The sequence below is a fragment of the Homo sapiens genome, chromosome 22 (assembly GCF_000001405.40).
Source record: "Homo sapiens chromosome 22, GRCh38.p14 Primary Assembly".
NCBI lineage: Eukaryota > Metazoa > Chordata > Mammalia > Primates > Hominidae > Homo > Homo sapiens.
In genome coordinates, this window is record NC_000022.11 from 29,703,450 (window position 1) to 29,719,979 (window position 16,530).

The following is a 16,530-nucleotide window of genomic DNA, read 5'->3' on the forward strand; positions in this document are numbered from 1 at the left end:
TGAGAAGGCGCATTGCTATTCTGAGCCGCACATGCTGTGGGGTTAGTGCAGTATCCTATTCTTTTATTAATACGGCTTTCCTCTCCTCCCTCCTCTTTTCCCATGGAAGGGGGAGAGCGGCTGGGGATGCCAGGGCTCCCCACATCACGTAGGAAGGGCCCCTGGAAATGCCAAGTTGGGAGAGCAGCTCCCAGCTGGGGCAGATTCTTCCCCTCAGAAGGTGGTGGGGGCAGCTCCCAGCCCCAGTCCAGAGTCCCCTCCCTGCTGTGTCCAGTGCATGCTGTGTGTAGGGTGGAGAACCCTGCAAGGCAGGGCTCAGGGAAACACCCCACCCTCAGGAGCTCCTCAGGGCAGGGAAGGTATGGGGAGGGGGACACCAGGGGGCCAAGAGCTGTGGATACTCAAGGATGACCTCCACTGGGCTCAGGGGCCCCGTGAGGTCTCTCCCCCAGCGTTACAGGGGAGCCTGACTTGGTGGCTGCTGTGTGTCTGCCCCAAGCGTGCTGCTTCTGACCCTCCGGTGACAGGACTGGTATTAGCCACCTTCGGTCCTGTCCAGGCTGGAGCACATGGATGCAATTTAGGATGCTCGAGAGTGCCTGGGAAATGCTGAGTCTAGGATGGGGGTGGGTTGGGCAAACCTTGGTTTTCAGGCCTCAGACCTGGAGATCAAGATCAAGGTTCTAGAAAGAGAGAAGTTTAAGGCAGGGGAGGGAACATGAAGAGTGAATGCCTCCCCAGGACCCCTCACCCCCGAACTCCTGACCACCCCGCCACCCTCCCCTCCCCTCCCCTCCCACCTCCTAACCACCTCGCCCCCCTCCCCTCCCCTCCCACCTCCTGACCACCCCGCCACCCTCCCCTCCCCTCCCCCCACCTCCTGACCACCCCGCCACCCTCCCCTCCCCTCCCCCACCACCTCCTGACCACCCCGCCACCCTCCCCTCCCCTCCCCCACCACCTCCTGACCACCCCACCACCCTCCCCTCAACCCCCACCTCCTGACCATCCCATGAGATGGCGAAGGGGAGAAAGGTGCAGGGCAGATGGGGGTGGGGAGCTGGGGCAGAGAAGGGGTCCCATGAGGACCGTGGGTGAACTGGGGATGGGGGTGTCCGGGCCCCCCAGTGCTGCTCAGAGTTAAGAACTTGGCCTCTCAGCCTCACATTCCCCTCCTGAACAACGGAGTGCATTCAGAATCCACCACAGGGTCGCTGTGGGGTTGAATGAGATCACAGGGACCGGTTCTGAGCCAGTGCCGGCTGCAGTGAGAGTTTATTAAACAAGGCCTGCCGCTGTGTGGTTATGGCTGTTTACTCTTAGCTTGTCCTGAGCCAGTTATCAAAGGAGACAGCTCAGGGTTGGGAGGGCAGTGGGCCAGGAGGGGTCCTCACATGGCTGCGCCTTGACTCCTGGGCCCTGGGCCCATCTCTAGACCACCCTAAACGGCCCCCCCAGTAAAGAAACGGGCAACCCTCCCAGCAACGGGCATCAGTCCATTGTATATTGACAGCAGGAGAGGGGCTGGTGGTTGCAGATGTCCCCAGGGGGGTGGCAGCTTCAGCTGGCCTGACACAGCCCCTCCTCAGGGATTGGTGGGAGAGTCTGGAGGCTCTGGAGACCCTGGACTGGTATCAGCATTTCATGGGCATCCCCAGCCCCTCTGGCAGCCTGCCAGCCCCCACTCACTACTGGACCCATGCCAGGTGCCACGGCTGCACTCTCCAGTGACATTTACCAGCTGGGAAGTGGCCACGGAGACTTGAAATCAATGTGGCCTGCAGCTAGCCCACTTCATTAGAGCCGGCTCAGCTCCACTGGGTAGGGCAGCACAGGCTAAGCGCAGCCCCCTCTCCAAGCCTCCCAGCTCCTCCTGGACCCACCTGCTTGGCTGATGGGCCCCGTCCCAACCCCAGCACTGATCCTGTGTGCGTGGGGTTGGGGCCACAATGTCTTCTGAATGCCTGCTCTGGCCAGGCCCTAGGGAGGATGAAAAGAACGCCAGCAGTGACCTGAGTGGGCCTCGGCACACTTGGTCTCTCCCTAATCCTCACAGCAGTACCCAGAGGAGGCCGCGACCATTAGGCACACTAGGGCCCAGTGAATGCCAGCAGCTCCCACTTAGGCCTTACCTGGAGTCATCACCAGAGACCCCCATGAGAGCCCCATAGAGTTACCATTATCCCCATGTAAGACAGAGGAGGAAACTGAGGCTCAGGGAGGCCAACTGACTTCTCGGAGCTGGGACTTGAACCTTGTCCTCCTCATGGGCCTGGCTCATTCAGCAACTCAACCTCAGAGAAGAATCCCCCCAGCCCCACCCCGCTCAGAGTGGGTGGGACAGGAGACCCTCCCCTCACATTTCCTGGGTGCAGCCCACGACCCTCTGAGGGGGCTCAGCAGTGGGAGGCCCAGCGGGGCTCGGTATGGGCTAAGCAGTGGTGGTCCCGGTCTTGGCCTTCCCCTCCTCATGGCAGGGGAGGAACCTGGGATGTGGGACTGGGCTCGGTGCTCCCTGGTGAGGAGGAAAGAACCCAAGTCTGGGGAGCAGATGCTGCTCTGCCTCCTCCAGCTGGGGGCCCCAAGCAAGACACTTCACCTCTTTGTGCTCCAGTTTGCTCAGCTAGAAAACGGGGTCACTGATGTCTGCCTTGGATGAGTAAGTAAGATGATGTACTTACAGTGCTTGCACAGCGCCTGGCACAGAGTGAGGACCCAGAATGCCAGGGAGCTCGAGCCACCAGAAGGGATGATGTCCCATAACATTTGCGTTTATCTGGCAGGCCTATGCAGATGCAAAACTCAGACTGAGCCACATGTAACCTCCAGAGTGCCCGGGGTGAGCTGGTGGCCCAAGCCTACTTGTCTGGCCCCCATCCCCAGCACCATGCCCAGCACAGCACCTGGCACGTAGTAGGTGCCCAGGACATATCTACTCAGTGAATAAATGAGTGTCTGTTTACCCATCTCGAGCATCTCAGTGCCTGAGAAACTCATCCCACTCCCAGGCTGCTGTGCAATTCAGGTGAAATGATGGCTTGGAAAGGGCTTGTTTTTATAATTAAAATGCAGAGAAGGAGGAAGAGGGAGGCGGTGACTTCCCAGCAAATGGGTGTGGGGGCTGGGAGAGGGTACGGGGCCTGATGTCCCCCTGGCCAGCTGGTTGGGCCAGCTGAGCTGTAATCACCACGGGCCCAATCATCAATCAGCCACCCACTCCCCACGCCTCTCTGGCCAGGAGGAGCATCCGTCAAAGTCTCCTTCCCCATGACGGCCCAGACAATCAGGCAGTCCCGCCTGAATCCACCGCTTGAAGCCTCCGCCTCCTCCTCCTGTCAGTCCAAGAGGCAGGGGCCAGGCAGGGTCACACCCCCAAGCCAGGCCAGCCTGTCCTGAGCCCTGTCTGCATGCCAGGCACAATGCCCACCTCTGCACATCCTCCTCTCCCTTGGCGGGGGGCACTGCTGCATCCCCAGTCTTTACAGATGAGGATGTGGTCTCCCGAGACTCACTCGGGTCACACAAGTGAGTCCCACAAGAGCTATCACTCTGAGCCCCCACTTTTAACCTCTGCAGCCCTTCTCCAGGCCTCAGTTTCCCTTGTGCACCAGCGAGCAGCAGTTTTCTAAAGGTTCCACCCCGAGGAGCCGGCTGGCCCCCAGCCAGCATCGCAGGGACAGCATGATGGATGAGGATCCCGCGGGGGGCAGGTGCGACACGCACACACACCCGCCGACCGACCGTTGGGTGATGGATCTTTTCCTCCTCTCCCCCTCCCCAGGAGCTCGGCTCCATCTGGTCAGGCGCAGTGCCAGGCTGATGGATGGGCCACTCACTGGGCCACCCTCGCCGAGGCTGCCTCCTGCACTCTGGATACTGCACACCAGGGTCAGCAGGGTAGGTCTGCGGATGCTCATTCAGTCATTCAACAAACACGTATTCACCAGGGCCTACTATGTGCTAGAATGAAGCAGTGAGCAAAACAGACTAGGAAACCAGCCATCACCCTCCATGTGACAAATATGGTCACAGGGCAAGCAGAGGGTGACTGTGCAAGCCAGAGGAAGCCTCTGAGCTGACTCGAGGGACCAGGGCAAGGAGTCTTCACAGGACAAAGCGAGCAGCTTCTAAAAAGGCCTCCATGTGAGAAAGGGCAAGGCATGTCTACACAATAGTGACAAGTTCAGGATGGTGGGGTTGGGACGGGGGCAAGGGCCAGGGCAGGCTGAGAGGTGAAGCAAGGCCAGTTTGGGCTCACCCCAGGGCAGGAGGGTGCTGGGCCAGGTTGGCATTTCCAAAAGACCCTGCTGCTGCCAGGGAAGGAGGCATGCTGAAGGTCTGCTGAAATTCAGGAGCAGGCAAGGCGTGGTGCTGTGCACCTGTAATCCCAGCACTTTGGGAGGCTGAGACAGGAGGATCGCTTGAGCCCAGGAGTTTGAGTCTGCAGTGAGCCATGATCACCCCACTACACTCCAGGCTGGGTGACAGAGCAAGACCCTGTGTCAAAAAAAGAAAAGAAGGCAGGGCACAGTGGCTCATGCCTGTAATCCCAACAATTTGGGAGGCCAAGGCGAGCAGATGACTTGAAGTCAGGAGTTCGAGACCATCCTGGCTCGAACATGGTGAAACCTTCATTTCTATGAAAAATACAAAAACGGCCAGGCATGGTGGCTCACGCCTGTAATCCCAACACTTTGGGAAGCCAGGGTAGGCAGGAGCTCGAGACCAGCCTGACCAACACAGTGAAACCCCATCTACTAAAAATACAAAAATTAGTTGGGCATGGTGGCATGTGCCTGTAGTCCCAGCTACTCAGGAGGCTGAGGTAGGAGAATCGCTTGAACCCGGGAGGCGGAGGTTGCAGTGAGCTGAGATTGCGCCATTGCACTCCAGCCTGGGCAAAAGAGCGAGACTCCATTTCAACAAAACAAAAATTAGCCGGGTGTGGTAGCACGCGCCTGTAATCCCAGCTACTTGGGAGGCTGAGACAGGAGACTCGCTTGAATCCGGGAGGCAGAGGTTGCAGTGAGCCAAGATTGTGCTATTGCACTCCAGCCTGGGCGACAGAGCAAGACTGTCTCAAAAGTAGAAAAAAAAGAAAGAAAGAAATGAAAAGAAAAATGCAGAAGCAGATCAGCCCTGGTGCAGGGGATACTGGAAGAGCCAGCGAAGAGCAGGGATGTGAAATCCTGGAACCAACGGCGGTCAGTACCAGAAGCCAGGGGTGGTCGCATTTGCCCCATTTTAAAGATGAGAAACTGAGGCTCGGAGTTGGGGAAGGATTCACCCAAAAGGTCATGCGGGGCAGAGAAACAGAGCTGGGCAGGAGGCAATGCTCGGTGAGAGCTCTCGGCCCGTTGGACCTCCATGTCCAGGCGCCCTCCCCCTCTGCCTGTAGAGGCTCAGCAGCCTGAGGACACCCCCACCAGCACCAGCAACTCCTCATTCAGGGAGGCAGCTGTCCCCTTCGCGCCGCCATGGACAGGAGCCAGGCAAGAAATATCACATCATTAAAATGACAAATCCCTTCACTAACTGAACCAGAAGGCCTGCCTCCCCACCTTGGATCCCCTCTAGCTCATCTCCCCTCCCAGGCTGGCAGGTGGGCAGGGGAGCCTGTGCGGGGTATGGCCTGTTGTGGTCAGGACCATCGCCTTGCTCCTGAGATGACCTTGGTCCCCAGACTTCTGCTTCACGGCATGGCTTTGGTGTCTGGGATCCCATCAGCACTTCCCAGCAGGAGCCCGGGAGAAGTAGGGGCTCCATTCTACAGGTGGGGAAACTGAGGCTTGGAGAGGCGACCCTCCAGGTAGGACACCCCTCTGCAAAGCTCCTGGCCACTGGGCCTGAGCAGAGACCCTGCCATCCCTGCCATTCCACAGCCCATGTCCTGCCCCTGCTCAGAACAAGAACAAAGCATGACCCACGCCTCAGGATATTTTCCCAGCCCATAACCAGCTGCAGAGCCTGTCTTCAGGGTCAATCCTGCCCCCTACCAGGGTGGGACATGTTTTTGTCTGAGCCCCACCTTGTCAGGAGGCCAGGGCAGGCATCATTCTCCTGAATTGACCGGGCAGGAACCTGGCTGCCTTGGGCAGGCTGCTGCCCTCAGTTTCCCCATCTGGCAATGGGAAGCTGCCCCTGTTCTTTTTTTTTTTGCTTTGAGACAGAGTTTCGCTCTTGTTGCCCAGGCTGGAGTGCAATGGCTCGATCTTGGCTCACCGAAACCTCCGCCTCCCAGGTTCAAGCGATTCTCCTGCCTCAGTCTCCTGAGTAGCTGGGATTACAGGCATGTGCCACCACGCCCGGCTAATTTTTGTATTTTTAGTAGACGGGATTTCTCCATGTTGGTCAGGCTGGTCTCAAACTCCCGACCTCAGGTGATCTGCCTGCCTCGGCCTCCCAAAGTGCTGGGATTACAGGCGTGAGCCACTACGCCTGGCCAGCCCCTGTTCCTTTTGACTGAGGCTGAGCTTGCACAGGGCCTAATGGATGTGGAGTGAGCACCTGTAACACGTGCATGTACACCGCACATTAGATGCCTGTGATGTGTGCACACTTGCCACATGTATGTTTCCACCTGCATCTGCCCTGGCCCCGGGTCCTCAGAGTGTCAGACCCCTGTGTGTGCACATCCACCCTGGCACCCAGACACCCAGCCACAGATGCACACATCTGCACCAACAGCCCACATCCACCCAGACCTGTTCGTGCACATCAGTGTCACATGCCCACAGACACTGAGAGCCCACATGGGGTCCCTGTTCCTCTGGGGAGCAGGGCAGGTGAGCAGATGGCAGGAGATGTCACCTGGCCCCGCTGGCAGCCCTGGTTCCCAGAATGACCCCTCTCTCTGCTCCCTCATCCTTCCTCCGGGCCCAGCTGGCAAGGACACACCGTCCGTCCGCCCAGTGTCCTGGTCTCCTTGGACGCAGACAGAGCCCACGGAAGCGTCTGGCGCATCCTGACTTGGCCGCAGCAGCTGCACCAGCACCCCCAGCCCTCTTCCCTGTGCCCAGCGCTGTCCTGCCTGTCCTTCCCCACCTGCTGGGTGGCCGAAGCAGCCGCCACACGCTACCATGTCCCCATGGTGGGGAGGGGGCTTCCTGCAGCAGCTACCACGAGGGGCCTCTCCAGCCCTCCCGCCTGACCTTGGATAGGTCCTTCCTCTCTCAAGGCCTCAGTTTTCCCATCTGGAAAATCGGAGGGAGGCTAAACTGACTTTCCAAGGTCCTTTCCACGTCTGGCTGTGGGATTCTCCCAAAGACCGGGAAAGGAAGGTGAGGCCAGGGCTCTGGTGGGGAGATTCAGGAGGAGGAAGCGGGGATTTAGGGACAGGCCTGCAGCGCTGGGTTCAGGGCTCTGCTTCAAGTGCATTCTCTCAGTTCGTACCCCCCACTGCCTCCCAATGGGGCTTCAACGCCATTTTACAGATGAGGAAACTGAGGCCTGGAGAGATACTACGCAGGGCAAGAACCCCCCACCTCCAGCTCCCTGCACTCCCTACGCCAAGGGCCAGAGCATGGGAGCCATGCCCAAAACATCCCGCACTTGCTGTCCTGCCCTCGGTCAGGGAGGTGGCATTCCGGGAATGGCTGTCTCCAGAGCCAGGCCTCTCCCCACCCCCTGCTCAAGGCTCCTGGCTCTGAGCCCGCCCAGGCACTGCCCGTCCATCTGCTGTTGCTTCCTGGCAGGGCGAGCGGGCCATACATCACTTAGCCATGCCGAGGAGGCTGGGCCGGGCAGCTGGGCAGGGTATTTCTGGGCTCGGGTGCAACCCCCTCTGTGGGATGTCAGGCATGGACACCTGCCTGGGAACAGGGGTCTTCTTGGGGCCCCAACCTCACCCCCATCCCCCAGATGGCAGGAGCCTGAAGGAGGCAGCTGGAGGCCACAGGGTGACCTGGCTGAAGGGGAGTGGAGGTCAGACTGACAGCCAGGAAGGTCTGAGGTGGTGCGGCTCTGTGGCATTTGGCAGGAGGACAGAGATTTTTATCTCCCCAGCCCCTCCACTTCGCCATGCAACGTGCTGATGTAGGTCGCTGGGGTGCTGCCTCCTGACTGAGCTGCTGCCGGGGGGATGGGTGGGGGACAGGTGGGAGCTGGGGCAGCCGGAAGAAAAAGGTTCACAGCCAGGGGCGTCTCAGCCACCACTCCTGTCCCCAAACCCACAAACCTGCCCCCCACCTGGCCCTGCCTACCAGGGCCGCTCCTGCAGGCAGTCCCTAGCTCTTCATCCATCCCACAACTAAGTACGAGCATCCTCTGTGTACCCCAAAACCAGGGACGCAGCAGCGAGCAAAACCCAGCCCCAGGCAAGGAAGGAGTCTGCGGTGTCACTAGGAGAAGGGCAAGGTTTGTCTTTTACTTGTTTATTTTTAAAGCTAGGGTCTCCAGAGAAGACCCAGGGAGAAGGTGAATTTTGAGTAAAGACTGGGCATGGTGGCTCCCATTCGGTAATCCCAGCACTTAGCGAGGTCAAGGCAGGAGGATCGCTTGAGCCAGAAGTTGGAGACCAGTCTGAGCAACATAGCGAGACTCTGTCTCTACAAAAAAATTTTTTAAAATTAGCCGGGTGTGGTGGCACATGCCTGTAGTCCCAGCTACTCGGTAGGCTGAGGCCCAGGAGGTGGAGACTGCAGTGAGCTATGATTGTGTCACTGCACCCAGCCTGGGTGACAGAGTGAGACCCTGTCTCTAAAAAAAGAGAAAAAAAGAAAAAAGAGAAGAAGAAAGAAAGAGAGAGAGAGAAAGAGAAAGAAAGCAAGAAAGCAAGAAGAAAGAAAAGAAAGAAAGAAAGAAAGAAAGAGAAGGGAAAGAAGGAAGGAAGGAAGGAAGGACCTGAAAAAGTGATTGTATTTGGGAGGAGAGCATTCCTGGCAGAGCACACAGCAAGTGCAAGGGCCCTGGGGTGGGAGTGCGCCTGCCAGGCGAGGCCAGCAGAGCAGGTGAGCTGGGGGAGGAAATGAGAGTAGAGAGGGGAGGAGGGAGACACTGTGGGTCCTGGGGCAACTTTGCTGACTTCAGCTCTTCCTTGGAATAGGGTGGGAGCCACTGGAGGACTGGGAAGGGACCGTGCTGTTTGGGGGAGTGATTGGTGGTAGCTTAAGGGCCCAAAGGGAGATGTTGGAGGGTCAGTGGGAGGGTCCTAGAGGACCAGGGGCCGAGCATGTGACAGAGGCCCTCTGCCATCTGTCTGTCCTCCTCCTCTCCCTTCCGCCCCTTTTTTTGCTTCCTCTCACTCCTTCATCCAGCAGGTATTTGCCGAGTGCAGGAACAGGTCTAGCCTTTTATGAACTCAATCCAAGGGATGCTCCGCCCTCCCCACCCCCTAGGAAGGCACCTCCAATGTCCACCCTGCAGCCTGGGGTGGAGGCCAGGCCACCTCAGCCGCTCTCCACACTCTAGATGGTCAGCCCAGGTGCTGCCTCCTGTGGGTGTAGAATGAACACCCGTGTACTGGTGTACGGGGCTGTCACACACACATCTAGGACCAGCGTGGAGCACACAGGATGTCCCCTTCCCTCCTGGGCCTCAGTTTCCTCGTCTGAGAAATGATTGGAGGACAGGACCTAAGAGCCTGTCCTATTCTAAAATGAAGACACACTGTGGTCACCCAGTGCCCTGGGGGCCACCAGTGCCAGGGGACAGGGCTATGGTTCTGCCTGTGTGGGCTTGGGCACTGGTGAGGCTGTGGCCATGGGCCAGGCTGCACAGAGCCCTGTGAGCCCCAGAAAGCCCAGGGGACAGGTGTGTGAGGACACAGGGAAGGACTAGGCTGGGGGAGCCCCTCCACCCTGGCCTGTGAGGACCTGGGGAGTGACCATCATTGTCCCTGTGTGAAATGCTCTCATAGCCCTCTTCCTCCTGACCTGATGGGACCCTGAGTCTAGGAGGAGTGGTGTGTAGACCCCTGGCCAAGCCTCCCTCACCCAGCTGCCCCAGGAGTAGCAGGAGAGCAGGAGGTCTTAGCAATGACCCAGCTGTAGCTCGGGAAGGGGCCCCGCCCCTCTTCCCTGCCCCTGGCCCCACATAGCCCCCTAGCTCACCCGGACCCCTGCAGCTCCTCTAATTACACAGCCATAAAGCACAAATCTCTAACGATCCAATTAGTAACGCTGTTACTGCTCTGTCCAGGACTAAAATCACCAATTAAACTGCTGTCGATTTTTCATCACTTAGACTCGGCACAGATGGGGCACTGCAGGCCTCAAGGCCCATCCTCGGACCCTTGGGTGGGGGGCCAGCCAGGGGTGTGGGCCTAGCTTAGCCCTGGAGGAAGTCCCTCCATCCACCGGGGCCCTCGTACCCCACTCCAGCCCAGTCCCCAACATCAGGGACTCCACAGAATTAGAGCCCAGTTCCCTGTAGATCTGCTGGTGGCAGGGGGCGCAGGGGCTCCCCAAGCCCAGCCTCTCCCTGGCAATGCCTCCAGTCTGGGCCTCCCTCATGTTCCCTGGGGACAAAACTCATCTATTCCATGTTCTAGACTTTCAGTGTCGGGCTACTCTCAGCAGCTGAGCCCTGGGACAAGGGACGGGGGTGGTCATCTGAAGGTCTGGCCCCCACTTCCCCTGCTCTCCTTCCCCTGCTCCTCTCGCTGCCACAGGCTCAGGGTGCCAACCTCACAGGGTGTCCCCCACTGTGGAGAGAGGTTCCACTCTGATGCGGTATCACAGGTTAGTATTGTCCCTCTCCCAGTTGATGAGCAGGTGCCCCTGTAGGGGCCCCCAGTGTTTTGTCTCAAAACAGGAAAGATATTTGAGCACAAAGCCTGAGCCCAGGGACTTGATGAATACTAGCCATTTCCTTCAGAGGGGTGAGCTCCCTGTCTCTGGAGGTGTGCAGAGGCTGCACCCAGGCCACATGTGGCAGGCAAAGACAGCAGGTCACGCATAGGGAAGGGGCAGGGTTGGGCTGGATAACTGAAGCCAGATCAATCATTTGGTCCTCTTGGGAAAGAATTCCAGACGTTCAGTCTCCTGCTCTCCATCTCTGCCCTAGAAGTGCTTCCACAAAGAGAGAGGGACAGGGGCAGGGCAGGGCAGGGCAGGGCAGCAGGAAGGGTTCAGTCAGCTGGAGATGGGGAGGCGGCCATAGCGTGAACGCTCAGCCCCAGGCAGGTGTGCTAAAGGCTCCTGGTCCATGACATCGCCAGCCGACGCCGGAATATTTGTGCTGTCCTGGGCCCTGGGCTCAGCGTCTCTCGTCTCTTAATCATCCTGAGAAACAGGTGCCCTTATTCCCAGGTGAGGCACCAAAACTCAGAGGTCCAGTGATATTCCCAGGGGTTTGATGAACCCCTTAATGAAGCCATGCTTGTGCCCCCTGGGGGGCAGGGTGTGCCGGGCAAGGCCACAAAGCTGACCTGGCAGCACCTGGATATTTTAATGACCCCATTGTCCAGAGGAGGAAATCAAAGTGGAGACGGTGTAAGCACCAAGTTCAAGGTCATCCTGGGACTGTTGATCACAGCCCTACCTGAGCCGCGGGTCCTGCTGGGAGAGAAGGAGGAGGGGAGGTACCTGTGGTGGGAAGTGGGTATTCAGGGAGGGCAGAATCTATGGCCTCTGCTCCTTGCTGAGGAACAATATTGTCCCAAGAACCTGCTGGGGACAGTGTCTGGAGGTGAAATAAATATTCATTTACCCACAAACTCCTAAAGTCTGTCTATTTCAACACCTGCGCAGCTCCTGGTTGAAGTGGAAGCTTATGCACAAGCCCTTTATGTGACACAGAGAGATGCAGAGAGGAGGGGGACAGGCCCTGGGGGACTGCAGGGTCCCAGCCTCGCCCTGCTCCAGGACCTGGCAAGGAGAGGTGACTTTCCTCCACCTATCACCCTAGGCTAATGCCCGGGCAGATGGGAGCTGGGCCTCTTCTCAGGGAGCAGCCGCCTCAGGCAAGTTGGTTGAGCGTCTCATCAGAGGCAACAGACTGAGGCAGGGATCTGGGAGCCCAGAGCAATTAGGAGCTGCCTCGCGCCTCGTCTCCCGCCAGCTGCCGCAGCTGTCACTCAGGAAGTGGTCTGGGAGCAAGGGCTAGGCCTGCAGTACCCATGGTCCCCCTCCCATCTGTGAAGGTTCTGATCCCTGGGGCAGCCTCCCAGCCAGCAGCCCCGCCAGGCCCCGGGCATAGGTGGAGGCCCAGAGGACGCCAGGGACAGGATCTCTGTGATTTCCTAACGGGGACATCCCCAGGCTCCTCTTACCCCTATCCAGACTCAGTTTCCCTCTGGAACATTGGTTCTAACCCTGGCTGCACCCTGGAAGCACGTAGAGGAGCTTTAGAAGAATACCTGCCCCACCCCCCAAGTTTCTGCTCCCAGCCCAGACCAACGGGAGCAGAACCTTTCGGGGGGATACAGGGCAGTGCACTTGAATGTGTGGCAGGGTGAGCCAGGATTTTGCAGTTATTGACATCATCCCTGCCCTGAGGGCTGGCAGCTTCTTTCCTCTGGGGACCATGTCTCCCCTCCCTTCCAGCTGGACCCAGTGCAGCCGGGGGATACTGTCCTGGCATGACCTTGAACTTGATGCTTACACCCTCTCCACTTTTATTTCCTTGTCTGGACAATGGGTTCATTGATAGCCTTGGCCAGCTCTCCTAGGTCCCTCCATAGCTTCACCCTCCGCAGCTGGGCCCTGAGCCTGAGAGGGAGGCTCAGAAGGTCCAGCCTCGGACAGCAGCACCAAGCACTGTCACCTCAGCAGATCCCTGCAGCAAGCTGTGTGGTGGCAGCATAAACTCCATTTTACAGGGACGAAAACTGAGACCAGGGCAGGGGCTACACTCAAGTCATAGAGCTGGTAGCAGGGGTCAGACTTCATCCCAGCTGCACTGGACTCCGAGTCCAGTGCTCTTTTCCCATCACCAAGTTCCTTCCCCCAATAGCAACAAATTCAAGGGCCTGTCCCCTTCACTCTGTTTCCCTCACATGGACTCTGTTCCCTGTTGTCCTTTCCGCTCCTGTCACCTTCAAGAGCTGGGCATGTGGGCGTTCAGAGGGGGGTAGCCAGAGAAGAGCAGGGATCTGAGCAGTTGGGGCCTCTGGGTTCTGGCCTGCACCCCCTCTCAGCCCGGTGTGCATCTTTGAGTCTATAAATTCCATTATTCATTAGTTGACTTCGGGAGTTTGCCCGGACAATGAATATTTTATTCACCTCCAGACACTGTCCCCAGTGCGTTCTTGGAACAATATTGTTCCTCAGCCTAGGAGCAGAGGCCATAGCCTCTGCCCTCCCTGGACATCCCCTCCCTACCACCACTACCTCCCCTCCTCCAGTACCTTCTCCCCCAGCAGGAGCCCTGGCTTGGGTAGGGCTGCAATTATTGGTCCCAGCATGATCTTGAACTTGAAGCTTACACCCTCTTCACTTTGATTTCCTCGTTTGGACAATGGGTTCATTGATAGCCTTGGCCGGCTCTTGTGGGTCCCTCCACAGCTTCACTCTACACAGCTGGGCCCTGAGCTCTGCTGGGAGCTCTCCCTGGTGCTGAATGTGGCAAGAGGATGCTGGCCTCGGACAAGAGGTCTCTGGCCAGGGAGGGCAGGGACTGTGCTGCTCTTGAAAGGAGTGGGCTCCAGTCTCAGGGAGGGAAGAGTCTGGCCTCTGAACATGGCAGTTCCCACCTCTCTCCCCTTGTCTCCTTCCCACTTGGGGAACCCCCCTGGAATCACAGGTTTCAGCGTGTCACCTCTCCCAGTGTCTCTAGCCTCCTGACCCAATGATTAGTTAGCAAGGCCTGTGGAGAACCCCTCTTGGGAGGACCTGAGGCTCAGGCATCTCCCGGTGGGCACCCCAGAGAGTGCAGTGTGATGGCAGCAGCACCTTCCCCAGATGGGGGAGCGACAGACATAATTCACACCCTGTGATCATGCCATCTGCTCCCCCGTGACGCACAGAGGAGAGGACGGGGCTGCAATGCCGAAGGGCGGGGGGCGGTGGTGAGCGGGCAGTCGTTCATTCACTAATTCTCTCGTTCATTCATTTGACAGATGTTCATCCAGCCCCAGCCACCTTAGCCCATTCCAGTCCTGTGCCAAGCGTAGGAGATCTGGAGAACCCAGACCCAGACCTGCCCTTCAGAGCTAAGAGAGGCCCTCTCACACTTCTGAGCTTTTGCCCACCCTCCTCTTGACCCCTGGAATTCCCTTGACTTGAAAAAAAAAAAGCCACCATGGGTTGGGAGTGGTGCCTCACGCCTGTAATCCCAGCACTTTAGTAGGCCAAGGCGGGTAGATCACTTGAGGTCAGGAGTTTGTGACCAGCCTGGCCAACATGTTCTCTACGAAAAATACAAAAATTAGCTGGGTGTGATGGCATGTGCCTGTAGTCCCAGCTATTCGGGAGGCTGAGGCATGAGAATAACTTGAACCTGGGAGGCGGAGGTTGCAGTGAGCCGAGATCATGCCACTGCAATCCAGCCTGGGCAACAGAGAAAGACTCCACCTAAAAAAATAAAAAAAAATACCCACCTGGACAGCAAGCCCAGGAGCTTCCCCTTCACAGGGCGAGTACCAACACGCTCTGCAGCGGCCTCCCAGGGAGTCACTGGGAGCTGGGTTTCCTGCCAGCCTCTCAGCAGGCTCTAGCCCACTCTCCCTTGGCCCAGGGGTTCTGATTTAGAACTGACAGGCCTGGGCTGGCACAGCCTGGACACTTAGTAAACGTGGAACGACTGAGCTGCTGCTGCGGCTCGCTCTCTCAATCAATACTCGAAGCTATAATTATTATTAATTCCTATTCCTTGGGGGGGATGTTCATGCTAATAGGAAACTCCCAAGAGTTTCAGGGAGGTGATGCCCGGCACCTTTCCTACATTATGTCACTTCATCCTCACCGCTGCCTGGGATGTGGCACTGCCACCTTAACAGGCAGGGAAACTGAGGCTATGGCCGGTTAAGGGACCTGACTGTAGTTCCATGGTGAGGAGATGGTGGATGCAGAAGCCCCAGTCTGCCTGGCTCTTGGTGCTGGGTTCTTACTTCCTCAAGTCTCTGCTCCATCAAAAACACTGGGGAAGCTCAAGGCATTCAGCTCTAGCGGTGGAAGGTCAGAAGATGGGACAGGTGGGCAAGGAGAGCTTTGGAGTGGGGTGGGAGCTTTTCTGGGGCCTCTCTCACCTCCAGGCCCAGGTCCCAGTGGGCAACCAGCTAGCCCGGAGAGGTCTGGGGAGACAGACAGACAGCTGGTGTCCTTCCTGGCTCCTCCGCAGGTTATAGATGTTTCTAGGAGCTCCCTCCAGAGCAGGGCCCAGGAAGTGCTGGGCCCAGGCTGACCCAACCCCGCTTGGCTGGGGCTAGCATCTCTCACTGAGCCCCTTCTCCCCAGACCCTGAGACAAGGCTGCGATTAATCAGTAACAAAAACAGAAACAAGCAGAAAAGTGTAATCAGCTTGGGAAGGGCAGGGCAGGACCGGGCAGGGCTGTGCAATCAGCGTTCCTGCTGGGACCTTTAGCTGATTGGGCCAAAGGGGGCAGGGAGGTGGTCCCAGTAGGGGGATTCAGGGAAGCACCCAGAGATGGGGCCACAGCCAGGCCAGAAGGTCACCCCCTCCCATGCACATCTGTGCACCATATGCCCACACCACTCCCAGCCCCAGGGCCTGCACACCTCCCCCGACCTGCCAGCGTACAACCTTGGCACACACAGGTGGCCACACACTCCCGACATTTGTCCATCTGCATATGGAGTCACAGACACCTGCGCACGTGCCCAGTGGCACATACACACCCTCATGGATAGCAGACATATGCACACGCAGGCTGCTCCCTCAAACACCTGCCCCCACCCCAGCTCTGGGGTGCCGACGTGCCCTGGGGCCTGGGGAAGCCCTGCACATACATTAGGTCTGAGCTGCAGCCATGTGAACTGGCAGGCCCTCACACCAGACCCCACAGGCACCGGGCCATGTCTCTGTCCCGAACTGCCCTGGGGGCCATGAGACACTTTGGCTCCTCTTCTGCAAGCTGAAAGGTAGGGGCTTGGGAAGGGTCCGGGACTGGGGCCCCATTGTGGGGAGCAAGGTCAGCGGCAGGGTGTCAGTCACAGGCAGGGCAGGAAGCCTACCCCAGACGTGTACCCAGCTCTTACCTGCTGCTCCTGCCCTGTGACCTTGGTCAACGTCCTTCTCTCTCAGCCTCAGTTTCCCCACCTTGGATCCTCCTGGCACGGAAACGGTGACTCTTCTTGAGGACCCAGGTGCTTGGGGCCAGTCTCACCTCTCTGGGTCTACAGTTCTTAGTTCCGGGCTCTCCGCTCCTGGTGCGTGGATGGGGGAAGGTGAGCCAAGGGGCAGGAAGGAGGACCCCCGCAACCCACCCCCTCCCTGGTCCTGGTGGCTGCAGACTTAGGGTGAGGAGAGCCAGTGAACAGAGGGGAGCCCTAGTGGGAAAGGGGAATCGGGGCCGAAGGGGAGAAGGAGCCCCGGGCAGGTTTGGGGCGGCCGCTCAGGGGCCGGCGGCGGGAAGGGGCGGGCTGGGGGTGGGGAGCGCGGAGGGGGCGGGCGGGCGGCTGGCGGGGGAG

General features: G+C 58.5%; 1 long non-coding RNA gene across 2 annotated transcripts, besides 2 other annotated features; it reads right to left on the minus strand.

Annotated features, from left to right (window-relative positions):
* Positions 1,721 to 2,384: an enhancer, noted in NCBI's record as "H3K4me1 hESC enhancer chr22:30101159-30101822 (GRCh37/hg19 assembly coordinates)". NCBI's record gives its function as "activates a minimal SCP1, AML or CMV promoter by ChIP-STARR-seq in naive H9 embryonic stem cells {active_cell/tissue: H9 hESC(naive)}" and the evidence as "EXISTENCE:reporter gene assay evidence [ECO:0000049][PMID:30033119]".
* Positions 1,807 to 16,454, minus strand: CABP7-DT (CABP7 divergent transcript). 2 transcript variants are annotated; one of them, NR_186695.1, is made up of 3 exons: positions 16,099 to 16,454; positions 2,682 to 2,785; positions 1,807 to 1,980 (listed from the first exon to the last, which is right to left on the minus strand). It is a non-coding gene; the product is annotated as a CABP7 divergent transcript (long non-coding RNA). The 2 variants fall into 2 exon arrangements; NR_186694.1 differs by lacking the exons at positions 1,807 to 1,980; positions 2,682 to 2,785 and adding an exon at positions 8,357 to 8,546.
* Positions 13,378 to 13,578: a silencer, noted in NCBI's record as "peak4478 fragment used in MPRA reporter construct". NCBI's record gives its function as "represses an SCP1 promoter by STARR-seq MPRAs in K562 erythroleukemia cells {active_cell/tissue: K562}" and the evidence as "EXISTENCE:reporter gene assay evidence [ECO:0000049][PMID:32103011]".
* Positions 16,455 to 16,530: the final 76 nt, after the last annotated feature.